This window comes from Homo sapiens, chromosome 4 (assembly GCF_000001405.40).
Source record: "Homo sapiens chromosome 4, GRCh38.p14 Primary Assembly".
Lineage (NCBI taxonomy): Eukaryota > Metazoa > Chordata > Mammalia > Primates > Hominidae > Homo > Homo sapiens.
Window position 1 is genome coordinate 152,639,776 of NC_000004.12, and position 15,266 is coordinate 152,655,041.

General features: G+C 41.1%; 1 protein-coding gene across 4 annotated transcripts in view, besides 2 other annotated features; it reads right to left on the minus strand.

Moving 5' to 3' along the window:
- The window catches only part of TMEM154 (transmembrane protein 154), a 61,370-nt gene that overhangs the window by 21,148 nt on the left and 24,956 nt on the right, over positions 1–15,266 (minus strand). Inside the window, exons 2-6 of one of the 4 annotated variants that reach the window (NM_152680.3) lie at positions 12,892–13,152; positions 12,763–12,801; positions 4,640–4,667; positions 3,313–3,398; positions 1,153–1,210 (exon numbers count right to left, since the gene is read on the minus strand). In NM_152680.3, the coding sequence (NP_689893.1) occupies positions 1,153–1,210; positions 3,313–3,398; positions 4,640–4,667; positions 12,763–12,801; positions 12,892–13,152 (472 nt within the window). Of the gene's footprint in view, positions 1–1,152; positions 1,211–3,312; positions 3,399–4,639; positions 4,668–4,904; positions 7,218–7,408; positions 7,553–12,762; positions 12,802–12,891; positions 13,153–15,266 lie in introns of those variants that run through there. The other 3 variants (XR_001741158.3, XR_007096383.1, XM_011531716.4) reach the window with 3 other exon arrangements.
- Positions 3,439–3,508: an enhancer, noted in NCBI's record as "active region_22036". NCBI's record gives its function as "activates an Ori minimal core promoter by ATAC-STARR-seq in GM12878 lymphoblastoid cells {active_cell/tissue: GM12878}" and the evidence as "EXISTENCE:reporter gene assay evidence [ECO:0000049][PMID:35858748]".
- Positions 4,654–4,713: an enhancer, noted in NCBI's record as "active region_22037". NCBI's record gives its function as "activates an Ori minimal core promoter by ATAC-STARR-seq in GM12878 lymphoblastoid cells {active_cell/tissue: GM12878}" and the evidence as "EXISTENCE:reporter gene assay evidence [ECO:0000049][PMID:35858748]".

Consider the following 15,266-nt stretch of genomic DNA (forward strand, 5'->3'; position numbering starts at 1 on the left):
CCTGGAATCTCTTTTAAATAGGATAGAATCCTTCCTGAACTGGCAATAATCTTAACATGAAAATGCCTAGGGTGGTGATATTGACCTAAATCTACAATAGGTATAGACTTTGGCATCAGAGCTGAGGTTTGTCTGAGTAAGACTGTGGTGGTGTGATGTGAGGAGAGATTTGGGATGGTGAATTCTTAAGTGAGGTTTAGGGGGGAGACGCAGGAAAAGGGTCCGAAGATAAACATCTGACTGCCCCCAACCATTGCCTAATAATCAGTATTCCCTCGCGATGCTCAGGCTTCAGGGGTTGCCTGGTGACAAGTGACTGACTGGCACCAGACTTCTGGTGAACATGGAGGGAGAGGATTTATCCTGCCTGAAGGTTTATTCCATTTATTCCAACAGAAGTGTGATATCTCAGGCATAGGCTCAAGTTTTCTTCTCTCCGGGTGTCCATGAGTGTTTGCTGCCAACAACTCAGTACCTCCAAGGTCACAGCAGAGCTCTGCAGAGCCAGTCCCCAACCTTCTGAACCATCCAACCTTTTTCCTTAGAACACTTCCCATGTCCTGACAAAACAGTTCTCTAATCAAAACACCCCAAATGTGGTCATTTCTATCCTCACAAAAGATAATATAATTTAAAATGAGATTGTGGAATGCTAAACTATACACCCAAACCCCAAAGCACTAAAATTTTTCTATCAACCAGAGCCACCTAGTGGTAAAATGGAACATTTTTTAAAAATTCCCATTTATTTTCTCACTCTAGTTTACAGTTACCCACTTTAAGACTGTCGCCTCCATCTGTTTTCCTTACCAAACATCTATTTATCCAAGGTAAACAAACCTACAGTTTGTCATAATTGGAAAGCTTTATGACTAAAACAGAAGCTGAAGCAACAGTGTCTCTTTAGAAGGGCAAGAAAATGTCAATACTCATTTATTTCTAAAGATAAAGAGTCCTAGGATATTTACTTTGTGGCCTTCTATTTTCTGTAACACACTTCCTCTTCTCCACACTATGCACATATCCAGCCGCGTAAATGATCTCATACGAATTATAGGCACGGAGGAGGTAAGCAAAAAGTGTTCCACCCTGGTTCCCAATCCCCCCGCCCCCCGCCATATACATGTAATCTGTGGTAGAAATGAGAAGTACCTTGGGTTGTGATTTGATTCCTTCTCTTCCTTCAAGGTAGGTAAACATTCAAAGTCGGCTAGGACAGAATAAAAGCAAACTCATTGTTAGTTACTGAAATCGTATTTTCTATCCACAAACCTGATACAGTTAAATACCATAGTTCTCTGATCTGCGTGGTTACTTGCACAAAAATGGCCTCACCAAGGAGTGATAGTGATGAAAAGATTAATGATGTCAAGGCTCTTGAAATGGAAAAAGCACTAATAACACAGATGCAAAACTTCAACATGCCTCTGACACTGGAAAGGACACAATTCATCACTGCTTGGTTATTCTGTCCCTGCAGCACCCCAGTGCTCCAAAAGCTAGAATCTGCATGTCTCAGGATAGACAGTGGAATAAGATGGCTTCGCCTGAGGTTCCAACGTGTCTGCAGAATGATTTCCATCAGATTGCACGGTAGGAAAGAATTGGGTAAAGTGGGAAAACAGCTGATCTTCCTATGGTCATGAGTTCTTTTCTATTACACCACTCGTTATTTTTAAGGGCAAAAAAATTCTTTGATTCTATCACCTATGTGTCAAAATAACTCAGCTTTAGTTGTCAAATAGAAATGCCTTTTCCAGTTTTCTGGTTTTAGTGAGTATGACAGAATCATGATTTTATATTTCACAAAATCTCTGGCACAAAACGTAATACAACAACATAGCAAGAAGAGATTGCCTTTCTGTGGTGAATTTTTTTCTTCTACCTTTTTTTTTTTTTTTTTTGCATTTTCCAAATTCTACTATGTATGCATATTACTTTTAGCAACTGAAAAACAACAAAACGAGACTCCTGAAGGACTATCTCAATGACCCGCCCCATCCTCAAATAGAATGGCTTTACAGAGTCCTTCTTTCCTCAATATGAAAAACTGTTAGAAATTGTACAAGTTAGCTGAGTGGCTCTTTTTTGAAATCACACCTTGATAAGCCTCTGGTAGCAATAATTCTTTTTTTTTTTTTTTTTTTTTTTTTTTTTTTTTTGTTGAGATGGAGTCTCGCTCTGTCACCCAGGCTGGAGTGCAGTGGCACAATCTCGGCTCACTGCAACCTCCGCCTCCTGGGTTCAAGCTATTCTCCTGCCTCAGCCTCCCTAGTAGCTGGGAGTACAGACATGTGCCACACCCAGCTAATTTTGTATTTTCAGTAGAGATGGTGTTTCACCATGTTGGCCAGGCTGGTTTCGAACTCCTGACCTCAGGTTATCCACCCGCCTCGGCCTCCAAAAGTGCTGGGATTATAGGCGTGAGCCACCGTGCCTGGCCTGGTAGTAATAGTTCTTATAACCAGTCTCTGAATTTTCTAACTCTACTGTAGAGTGTTGAATTTGACAGACCCTAGGGTATTTTTTTAAGATAAATGGTAAAAAATACAAATGACATGATAATGCTGGGTTTTATTCATTTAATCTAAGTAGTAAAAATAATTAATTTTTAAAGGGAATTTGAAAAAGAAAAAGCAGCTGTCATCATTTTAAAGTCCCATTATTGATTTACTAAAAAGTAAGGAACATATACTTCCATTACTGCCAGATATCAATTGGAAATTGTTATATGGGGTATGTATATCACCATCTACATGAGCAATGTCCAATAGAGCATTCTAAAGTGATAGAAATATTCTACATTACACTGTCCACTTAGTAGCCATTGGCTACTAAACACTCAATATTTTTTAATTTTAATTTTAATTAATTTAAATTTAAATAGCCACATTTGGTGATTATCTATTACGTTGAACAGCACAGATCTATGGATACTACATTTGATAAAGTTTTATATCCATAGTCAGTTTAAAATTGTAGATCTTTAAATTCTGTAATGTATAAGGTAATGCCAGATGCTAACTTTTTCCAGATCATTTGGCCTCAGAGATTTCCTTTCTTGAATAAAATACCATTTTCTGCTTCAAAAAGACCATTTCAACAACTTGTACAGAAATAAAAACAAGTGGCAACAATTAAGCTGAATATTTAAGTATTGTCAGACCAGGTTTATTATCTGCATGTACCAGATCTAATGTGGGATTGGGTTCTTCTGTCTCACTCCAGGATTTATTGAGATATTTATAAAGCTGTTGCAGCCTTCTGTTACTAGAGAGGAAAGAAAAAAAACAACTTTAGGTTACCACATACCATTTCTATTCATGCTGTTCATCCATTTATCAAGCTCTTCCATTTCAATTTCCATAACAGAGGGTGTATCTTCCTCAAAAATAGGGCTAGAAATAGAGAGCAAAAGACTTGTTAGAAAGAAATGTGAAAGATGCCTAATTTCATTTGGAAAGAGACTAGAATGCTGATCCTGAGGAAGATGAACTTGATTCAGTGCCTTATGCTCTAGGGAAGCCTGGGGGCTTGCCCTATTCCAAACTACCAAACTTTAATAGGAAGAAAGGCTACCACACAAACAAACATACATTTATCACAGGTCCAAAAGTGGGGTGCCCACAGGCCCAACAAGTGGACAAAAAAGGGAACCCAGGAGGCTGACTGCTCCCCTGAAGGTGCAAAGTCAAGTCTGCAAGGCTCCCAGGGTGAGGCCCTTCCGGGGAGTTGCCATATGAAGCATTTTAGCCTTGCTTAATTTCACTTCCTGTTCCTTGGGGTTTTTTGATCAGTGCCCCAGGTCAAGAGGCCACTGTCAACAGGCTACAGTTATCACCTGTCCCTTCAATTCCCAGGCCTTTCTCTCTTGGAGAAATGGAGCAGTTGCTTTCAGAAATTCACCGCCCTCACTTGCAGAAGCTCAAAGTGCACAGTCAGGGGACAGAGTCCGTGGTTAGTGGAGATGGGGTTGGGGAAGGATGGACCACCAGCTCTGAAAGCAGCGTAGGCGGTACACTGCGTAGAGGAAGCGATAAAGTTTCTAAACCAGGAGGCTGCTTGGAAGATGGGGAGGATATGGCATCACCCCAGAACATGCTTCTGAGTGGAGGCTTGTTTTTCTCTCTCCCACCCCTCCTTCCCTCCCTCCTCTCCCTTCCTCCTGCTCCTCCCACTCTTCCCTTCTCCTCCTCTCTCTCTCCCATCCCTGGGGGTTCTTGCTGTGTGAACTTCTGCTTCGACCAGGGCTCCCTGCTAAATACCAGCTCAAGTATCTTTCCTGGTGATAAAATTTCTAATCAGAGTAAATGAACCAATGTCCTTGAAATACAGCTAGGGATAGAATATTTAACTGCTATGCACTTGAAATTGGTAGCAGTCAGGATTCTTTTCTGAATGTAGGACAATGAAATAAAACAGATGCCAAGCTGTCTTTGCCCAGATCACACTCACACGCTGGATAGGGTTTGGGGATGCCAGCACATCCTCCCTCAGGCTGCCAAGGATCTCCAACCCCGCCTGGGAAGCAGGAGAGTCCCGCAAGATGTCAGAACAAAAACACCTGAAAAGGCAGCTGTCCACCTTAACAGTTGCTGTTCACACCCCAGGTGGATCAGAAGCAGCAGGGAAAACTTACACTTTCACGTTTTCACTTCCCAGTTCATCTAAAAGGAAATGAACATAAAGGTCATGTTAGCTTTGTTCTTCTGTAACAACTTTTAATTTCAACAACAGCTGAAGTCTCCTTTACAAAGAGAGCAAAATGACATTAAGTAACATTTTTAAAGGAGCGATCATTAACTTAGAGTCAAAGAAGTGTGGATTGCCATATTAAAACGAGGTCCTAATCCGTGTGAAATCTGCTTTCTTTTAGATGTGGATGGTCTGCTGAGAACGCTCACTTCAGACCAGATGTTCATCCGTCTTTATTTTTTACATCCACAAGAAGAGGAAAACATTGGTAAGGAAAGGCAAGGGAGGGTGAAACAAGAGGGCTTGCTCCTTGGCCTCCTTCAGTAAAATGTCCCAGATCTAAAGGCTGCTGCTTCATCTCCTGTGATACACCATGCTGAACACTGTGACACTGTGCCTCACTCCTGGTGGAGGATGTGGGATCTTCCATCAAGGGCTCCCCTTGGAATTTTCCTTTTACCCCTGCTCTTGGCATGGCTGGATCCCTCACAACTTCAGGGTCCCAGCTTAAATACTCTTTCCTCGGGGAGGCCTTCCCCACCTACTCTATTTAAAGAAGGGCCCATCTTTCCTGTTGCTCCCCAGCTCAGCACCTTGCTTGCATCTTTCATAATATTGGCCACAATTTCTCATTGGTCAACCCGTCTGTTTGATTTTTTTTTTTCTGTCTGTCTCTCTCACTAGACAAAGTACAAAGGGGCAGGGATCGTGTCTGTCTTATTTATCGTGGTATCCCCTCAGCTCTGAGCCAGCTACCACAGTACCTTGTAAATGCCTAGTCAATATCAGTGGAATAAATGATTAGGTGTTAACCTCAATTGTCCAGCACTGGGGTTCAATTCATGTCCAATATTTCAGACTTAGCATAGTGAAACTTCCAACAAGCCTGTTTTTAGTTCCTGTTGGTTGAGGTGAGAGTCAGGTAACTGTTTACAAAATGGCTGTAATGCACATCAGACTCCAAATGAACAAGTGGTGAGAATTGGAGCCTGATGTCCCAGCTGAAGCCCTGTTTCATTTGGCAGGAGAACCAACACATCCAGAGAAATGAGGCAATGATGTTGAGTGGATAGCATAGGCCTGCTGCACCATTCATCATGTGAAACCTATTGAAAAGCAAACCACTTTGTAGGGGCCCACCAAATAGTCAGAGGTTTCTGATCCTTGGCACTTAAAGGCCTCCTATTGTCTGTCCTGGAGAAATGGAGGTCCTCAGTGAAGGAACACAACCAGCAGACACCTGGAACTGAGTTCCTGGCAGCAGTGAGCTGCTGTAATTTCCTGTGGGTTGGCAAGCTTGAATGGCATTGCTAATCCAGGAAAGCTGGGCACAGATGTAAGTTTCATGCCATCACCGCTTGCCTTCCAGGAGCTGCAGGCTATGTCCTCCTGCCCTCCAGTAGGCATCTAAAGCTTCCTGCAGATGCCTGACTCCTCAGAAACTTAGATGGGGGAAAGGAGAATACACACACACACACACACACACACACACACACACACACACACACAGACACCACAAACCCACACTTTCTATCTAAAATATAAAGGCTATTTCCTTAAGGAATTTTAATATAAATAAAGCTCCTACACAATTGAACATCCCTGCAGGTGACCCGTAAAGCTCCTCCTGTTTTGTCACTCCCTCCTCCTCCCTCTCCCTTTTCCCCTGCTGAATAAACCCCTGACTATTTTCCCAGACAGCAAGTGGCTGCATGGCCCCACCGTTGTGGGCATGGATATATCTTTATAATCCGGGTTCCCCACAGGCTTCAGGGTGAGCAAAAGCTAGCCTGCAAGCAGATGAAGGAAAACTTTTAAAAGCCATCACAAAAGTGCTCCAGATGCACCAAATGTGAAGCTCCTGTAATCAGTTTGAAAACAGAGCAAAAAGCTTTCTACGGCCTCATCTTCCCTGCTCCATGGCTATTACCTCTGCTCCAGCCACCATGGCAACAGAAAAACATCTGGGAGGGCACACAAAGAGCAGAGCATTAAACCAGGAGGAAGACCAATTACTTGTCCTCAGCAATCAGGCCCTGCCCGCTCCACTCCACCTGGCCTATATATATTTATGAATAGCCACCTATTCCCTTTGCAACCAGGAGGCAAATGCAGCTCTTACAAAGCTCCATCTCAAACCCCTATTCCATTTTCCCTCCAACAATCCTTCCATTTCATCTCCTCCAACCCACTTTGTCCTCCTCCTTCAGTTCCTACTTCCCCCCCACTTAGCCTGACAGTACTCTCCTCTCAGATCCTCTCCTCTGTGCATTCGATAGTGGGGTTGTCTGGTGGAGGCTAGGGGAGGGCAGGAGCTACAGGAGCCTCTGGCTTCCTTTTCTTGTTTCCACGCTGAGCAGTGAGCAAGAGAAAGAGTCTCTTTCCAGAAGATTTACTGAGTAAGCCAGGCATCATGTAGCCACAGCCTGTTTAAAGGGGTAGTTTATCGCCCGCTGTTTTCCCTGCAGCTCTTTCAGAGAGACCTCACACATCAAGACACTGCAAATTTCATACCAGGAGGTCTAGGAAGAATGAGAGCAGAACATCACGTTACTACATCATGTTTCCCTTTCCCTGAACATGAAATGGACAAGCCCAAAGGAAAAAGTAATTTCCAATCAGATGAAGTGTTCTAAAAGTTTTGGCCAAGTCCTCTCCCATTGTCAAATTTAAAGACTTATTTCCTAGTATAGTATAACAGACCAGGCTCTACCCAAGTGCAGTAAGAAACAGTATGTCTGCTTCTAACTTCCCAGGGGACATAGTGTGCAGGTGTCCATGCTCTCCTATAAAGCATTTCTGTGGGAGCTTTCCAAGCAAAACGCTGGTATGACCTTCCATGATAGTTGTATTTTACCTGAAAAAAAATCAAATTTTGCTCATGTAAATATTCTGCTTTTATTAACTTTTAGCATTCAGTTTTTCTGAAAAGTTGTCCATCTGTTAAGCAGTTAGTGATCACGTCTGTGTTAAAGCATTGGCTGATAAGAGAAAAAAATTCAAATAAAACTCTCCATCAAAAACTTTTGTGATAAGCCAATTGTTTTGAAATGCTAAGTTTTCTCTGTTGTTTTTTTTAAAGTTAGGCATATTTAAGGTAAAAATAATGTACCAATTTTTAGTAAGGATAATGTACAAATTTGACTTTCCCTCTGAGCGTAGATGTTCTTTAATAAACATTCTAATGTTCTTTAATTAAGTCACTTATTCAACAAACATATACAAGCAGCTAGTGTGTGTTGGGCTAGGCGTTGAGTTAGGTAAAGGGATGATAATAAGCTAGCACTTAGCACTTATGCCAGGTACTGATTTTTTCTAAGTGATTTGCCTATATAAACCATTTAATTCTCACAACTCTATGAGGTGGGTATTGAATTTGCCCATTTTACAGATGAAGAAACTTAATCAGAGAGTCACGGTGCCAGGAAGTGCAAGCCAACCAAGCAGTGTGTGTGGTTTGAGTCTGGACTCTCAACCTCAATGCCACACTGTCACACAAGACAAATAAGACTAGCTCTTGGTTCTCCTGGACCTTAACGACCACATCACCCAGAAAGAAAAGAAGAAAAAAGAGAAGGAAGGAAGGAAGGGAAACAAGTCACCAACTTATGACAATGTGAATACTGTGAACAAAGAGTGTGAACAAAGTATTCTGAGAGCACAGAAGAGATGGTAATTAATTTTTCCTAGGGGAGGATTATTCAAGGCTTCCTAAAAACTGGGCCCTAGCAGGGGGGCGTGGTGGCTCACACCTGTAATCCCAGTGCTTTGGGAGGCTGAGGTGGGAGGATCACTTGAGCCTAGGAGTTTGAGACTTGCCTGAGCAACATAGCAAGACTCCATCTCTACAAAACGTTTTTTAAAAATGTCAAAAACTACTCAGGCATGGTGGCACAGGCCTGTGGTACCAGCTACTCTGTAGGCTGAGGTGGGAGGATCACTTGAGCCCAGGAGTTTGAGGCTGCAGTGAGCTATGATTGTGCCACCGCATTCCAGCCGGGGTAACAGAGCAAGGCCCTGTCTCTTAAACAAAACAAAAACAGACCTGGGCCCTGGAAAAAGGGATGGCAGTTTGCCAAGCAGACAGGAAGAAAATTCCAGACAGAAGAAATGGTATCAACCAGGCATGGAGGCATCCTGAAAGTCAAGTCAAGTTCTGGGAATAGCAAATACTTCAAGTGTTGTTAGAGTGGAGGATGCATGGACCATGTCTGAGGTTGAGGCTGGCTCTCGCTTGTAAATGGCTTTTGAACCTTGAGACTTTCACAATGAAATTCAATGAAAAATCAATTTCTGGATTTGGAGCCTAAGAGCCTCACCATGTGAGTGGATACCTCCAACATCCCCCCACCCCTTGAGTCCATTAGGTAAAACCAGTCATGGTTTGGGGAAGGAAATTATGACTTTTCCTGAATTTTAAAAAATTTAAAAAGCTCTGTTTGCTTTTTTTTCTTAAGCTTAGAAAGAAGCCTCCATATGACCATGTTATTAGGAAGTCCTGAAATTTCAAGCAGTGGAGAAACATGTATTTCCCACTTCTTTGGAATCTATTATATGGGCCTCTGCCATGAAAGGAAATACTCTTCGGGGCTTCTTCCCCAGCTCACATTTGCCTCATCTGCTGACTGTGAAAGATTCCTCTGGCACAGAGACAGTGAGGTGGGCATGTGGGACAAGGGCATGGCCCCAAAGCCAGAGGTGCCCTGTCATGGGTGTGAGGGACATAAAGTGAGTTTTGTATACATGTATGACTATGTATTGTATTAGAGACGTTCCTATCCTTTGAGTAACTTTTTGGAAAGACTATAAAGGCTTTAACTTAAAAATCGAATCCGAGCGAGTTTTACTGGCACAAGCCAAAAGTACCCAAGTCTGCTTTAGACCTAGAACTACCCTGACTCCTAGCACGTGATGCTCCTTGAATCACAACTGAATACTCTCAAAGTGGGTCTCTGACTGAGGGAATTTTCTATAATTGGTTTTCGGATTGATGTTAGTAATCTTTAGACAGTTGAAGAATTTGATTATAAAAGTTAGCATAGCTTCAATGGGAATAAGAACAATGCTTCCTCCAGGACTTTTCAAGATCAAATTGGGATGTGGGGTGGGGGAGAAAATAAAATCTGTAACAGAAATATAGATGAAAGAATGCTCTTCTGGTGGTGATGACCCCAAGGCCTCTAGCCTTCCCATCCCTAACCCTAATCTGACTCACTCCTTGATCAGCCTTTCTCTTTCCCCAGTGATGGGAAATGTTATACTGGCTTATTGGCTAAAATTATACAGGATCCTCATCTGGATTAGGGTCAAAGATGGCAGCAGTAGAAAAGCATCCCCCAGAAATATGCAGGTTCAGGTCCAGACCACTGCAATAAAGTGAGTATTGCAATAAAGCAAGTCACATTAATTTTTTAGTTTCCAAATGCATAAAAAGTTATGTTTTTCCTACAATGTAACCTATTAAGTGTGCAACATTGTGTCTACAGAGACAATGTATATACCTTAATTTAAAATACTTCATTGCTAGAAAATGCTAACGATCATCTGAGCCTTCCGCAAGTTGTAATTATTTTTCTGGCGGAGGGTCTTGCCTTGATGTTGATGGTTGCTGACTGATCAGGGTGGTGGTTGCTGATGGTTGGGAAGGCTGTGGCAATGTCTTAAAGTAAGATCACAATGAAATGTGTCACATTGATTGACTCTCTTTCACAAAGATTTCTCTGTAGCATACAATGCTTTGTTTGATAGCATTTTATCTGCAATAGAATTCTTTCACAATTGGAGACGATTCTCACAAAACCTGCCGCTGCTCTACCAACTATGTTTATGGAATATTCTAAATCCTCTGTTGTCATTTCAACAATGTTCATGGCATCTTCACTAGGAGTAGATTCCATCTCAAAAAAAAAAACAAAACTCTTTGTTCATTCAGAAGAAGCAATTTCTCAGCCACTTAACGTTTTATCATGAGATTGCAGCAATTCCATGGCATCTTCAGGCTTCACTTCTTATCCTAGTTCTCTTGTTCTTTCTACCACATCTGCAGTGACCCCTCCACTCAAGTCTTGAACCCCTCAAAGTCATTCATGGGTCTTGGAATCAACGTCTTCCAAAATACTGTTGATGTTGATATTTTGATCTCCTCCTATGAATCGGAAATGTTCTTAATGGCATCTAGAATGGTGAATTCTTCCCAGAAGATTCCTTCCCAGATTTATCAGAGGACTCACCATCTATGGCAGCTATGGCCTTACAAAATGTATGTCTTAAACAATAAGACTTGAAATTCAAAATGACTCCTTAATCCATGGGCTGCAGAATGGATATTGTATCAGCAGGCATGAAAACGTTAGTCTCCTTGTACATCTCCACCAGGCCTCTTGGGTGACCAGGTGCATTGTCAATGAGCAGTAATATTTTTAGTGGAATCTTGTATTTTGAGCAGTAGACCTTAACAGTGGACTTAAATTATTCAGTAAACCATGCTATAAACAAATGTGCTAACATCCAGGCTTGGTTGTTCCACTTACAGAGCACAGGCAGAGTAGATTTAGCATAATTCTTAAGAGCTGTCAGATTTTCAGAATGGTAAACAAGAATTGACTTTAAGTCACCAACTACATTAGCTTCTAACAGGAGAGTCAGCATATCTTTTGAAGCTTTGAAGCCAGGCAGTGATTTCTCCTCTCTAGCTATTAATAGTCCTAGATGGCATTTTTTTTTTTTTTTTAAGTAGGGACAGGGTTTCACCATGTTAGCCAGGCTGGTCTCAAACTCCTGACCTCAAATGATCTGCCTCAGCTTCCCATAGTGCTGAGATTACAGGCGTGAGCCACCATGCCCAGTCAGATGGCATCTTCTTCCAACAGAGGACTGTTTCATCTACATGGAAAATCTATGGTTGAGTGTAGCCACCTTCATCAACGATTTGAACTAGGTCTTCTAGATAACTTGCTGCAGCTCCTACATCAGTCCTTGCTGCTTCATCTTGCACTGTTATGTTATAGAAATGGCTTTTTCCCTTAAACCTCATGAAACACCCTCTGCTAGCTTCCAATTTTTCTTCTGCAGCTTCCTCACCTCTCTCAGCCTTTGTAGAATTAAGGAGAATTAAGGCCTTGCTCTGGATTAGGCTTAGGCTTAAGAGAATGCTGTGACTGGTTTGATCTTCTACCCAGACCACTGAAACTTTCTCTATATCAACAATAATACTGCTTTGCTTTCCTATCATTGTATGTTCACTGAGTAGCACTTTTAGTTTCCTTCAAGAACTTTTTCTTTGCATTTACAACTTGGCTAAATGTTTGGCACAAGAGGCCTGGTTTTCAGCCTATCTCAGCTTTCAACTTGCCTTCCTCACAAGGCTTAATCATTTCTAGCTTTTCACTTAAAATGAGAGATATGTGACTCTTCTTCCATTTGAACACTTACATGCCATTGTAGGGTTATGAATTGGCCTAATTTCAATATTGTTCTGTATCAGGGAATAGAGAGGCCTGAAGACAGGGAGAGAGACAGGGAATGGCTTGTTGGTGAAGCAGTCAGAACACACACAATGTTTATCAATTAAGTTCACTGTCTTCTGTGAGCATGGTTTCAGGCACTCCAAAACAATTACAACAGTAATATCAAAGATAACTGATCACAGATCACCATAACAGGCATAGTAGTATTGAAAACATTTGAAATATTGTGAGAATTATCAAAATGTAATGCAGAGACACAAAGTAAACATGTGCTGTTGAAAAAATGATACCAATAGACTGGTTTGAGGCAATGGTTGCCATAAAACTTCAATTTGTTAAAAAAAAAAAAAAAAGCAATACCTGTAAAGTGCAATAAAGCAAAGTGCAACCAAACAAGGCGTGCCTGTATTTTGAAATTCAATTAAACTTTTTTTTTTTTTAAAGAAAGGAATATGCATATATTCACTTCTGGAAAATTTCATTGAAATGTATTATTTATCACTTACTATTATATGTAGTCCTTGTTGCTTAATTTTAAAACATCTCTGCTCCTTCTCCAATCCCACCCCCACCTGTAGGCAGGTTTTAGGATAATACTCACATGTCTGTAAAGCACTCTGAGATCCTTGGCTAGAAGGTTCTGTATCAAAGCAAAGAATATTTTGTTTTATTGATTGTTCACTAACACATGAAGCAATTTTCTGGAAATGGAAATACACCAAATATTTACCTTGTTTAGTTCTTTTTCTTTTATAGTATGTTGCAAGGAATACCACGGATAAAAGTAAGAGGACCAATAAAATCAATGGGATTAACACCATCAGTATAAACTCTAACTGATTTTCATCCGGAGCAAAGTTGGTAGAATTTATATTTGCATTTAATGTTTCTTTGATGGTCACTGCAGCAAATGTGCTTGGAATAGTCACTTTATTTGGTCTTTCAGATTCCACAGTTGTATCTCCTGAGTTTTCTAATTCCTCATAATTACCTGTGGGAATAGATACAAAATTGAAATTTCCATGGAGACAAAGTTAGTATGTTATATTGTCAATGATTTTTAAATTATTCCTAGATACATTCTGTGATAAATTTGACCCACTATACTTGGCCTCCAAGCTAAGTGTGACACAGAACATTGATTTAACATAAATGAAGCTCAAGCTGGGAGTGTATTGAATATGGAATCAGAGCTCAGAGAAAAACCTTGCACAAAGGTAGGCAGTTTTGCATTGACCAGACATTTTAGATACGCTTAAGCAAAGTGGATTCGGAAGCTTCCTCATGTTAAGGGTGATTTTCCAAGCCAAGTAATGTGATATTACAGGACATCTCCTATAGGGTATGATAATATTTTAACAAAATGTCTGAATAAATTTAAATTCACATTTACTAAAATTAAGTACATGCCATACAGCACTTTTAGATGTAAAGAAATGCACTCTGTGTCCTAATTTTTTTTTTTTTTTTTGAGGCAGAGTCTTGCTCCATTGCCCAGGCTGGAGCGTAGTGGCATGATCTCAGCTCACTGCAACCTCCACCTCCTGGGTTCAAGCAATTCTCGTGCCTCAGCCTCCAGAGTAGCTGGGATTACAGGCATGTGCCACCATACCCAGCTAATTTTTGTATTTTTAGTAGAGACAGGGTTTCACCATGTTGGCCAGGCTGGTCTCGAACTCCATGCCTCAAGTGATCCACCCGCCTCAGCCTACCAAAGTGCTAGAATTGCAGGTGTGAGCCACTGCGCCTGTCTGTGTCCTAATATTTAAATAAAAGGTTACCTATCAATGGAAAATAATTCTTTGAAAATGAATTGACTGTGCCGGGCATGGTGGTTCACGCCTGTAATCCCAGCACTATGGGAGGCTGAGGTGGGCAGATCACCTGAGGTCAGGAGTTCGAGACCAGCCTGACCAACATGGTGAAACCCTGTCTTTACTAAAAATACAAAAATTAGCTGGGCGTGGTGGTGCATGCCTATAATCCCAGCTACTTGGGAGGCTGAGGCAAGAGAATTGCTTGAACCCAGGAAGCAGAGGTTGCAGTCAGCCAAGATCGCGCCATTGCACTTCAGCCTAGGCAACAAGAGCGACACTCCATCTCAAAAAAAAAAGAAAAAGAAAAAAGAAAAGGAAAATAAAAACCATCAGGATGAGAAAGGACTACTGACTTGATGACTATCTGAAAAACTTTTCCTTACCTGTCTAAGCAGTAGTCATGGTAAGATAAGCTGAAGGTCTTTGTCCTAATATCGTATAATGTTGTCTACCTTTCAGAAGGGGCCAACTGAGGAAAATACCTCGTAAGTTGATGCTACAGAAAACTTATCAAATGAGATAATTTACAAGAAAGTTATTCTAAGGTGAAAGGAACTATGCAAATACAGAAGTCAGCTGCTTTAAACCACACTCTGCGGTATAGGTTAGGCAATTACTTTACAGAATGATCAAACTGGACATTGCAGAGCCAATTCAATAGTTCATCTATCTTCATAATCCCATGACAATGGAGTCCTCTGATTTTGGTTGAAACAATAAAAATGTTTGGTCACTGCTATGAATTGAATGTTTGCATTCCCCTCAAATTCATATATTGAAGCCCTAATCCTCAATGTGATGGATTAGGGCTAAGAGGTGAGGCCTTTGAGAGGTCATTAGGTTTAGATGAGGTCATGAGAGTGGGGACCCTATGACAGGATTATTGCTCCTATGAGAAGATAAGAAAACCAGAGTTCTCTTTCCTTGCCATATGTGGATACGGAAAGGTGGTGACTGCAGGCCAGGGAGAGAGTTCTCACCAAATACTAAATCTTCTAGCACCTTTGATCTTGAACTTCCCAGCCTCCAGAACTGTGAGAAATAAATGTCTGTTGTTTTAAGTCTTGCAGTCTGTGGTATTTTGTTATGGTATCTGAGCTAAGACAGTAAGAATCTAATTGTGTTGATTGTATGAATAAATACTTTCAGTCTCCCACATCAGGGAATTCATTTGATAATCCCTTTAGTAAATGCAACCCCAAACCATCAGAATCAATTACAAACTACAGAGTAAACTCACTGGTGTTTCTCATGTGTATATGCCAAAGGCAGGATTGAAAAAAAAAAC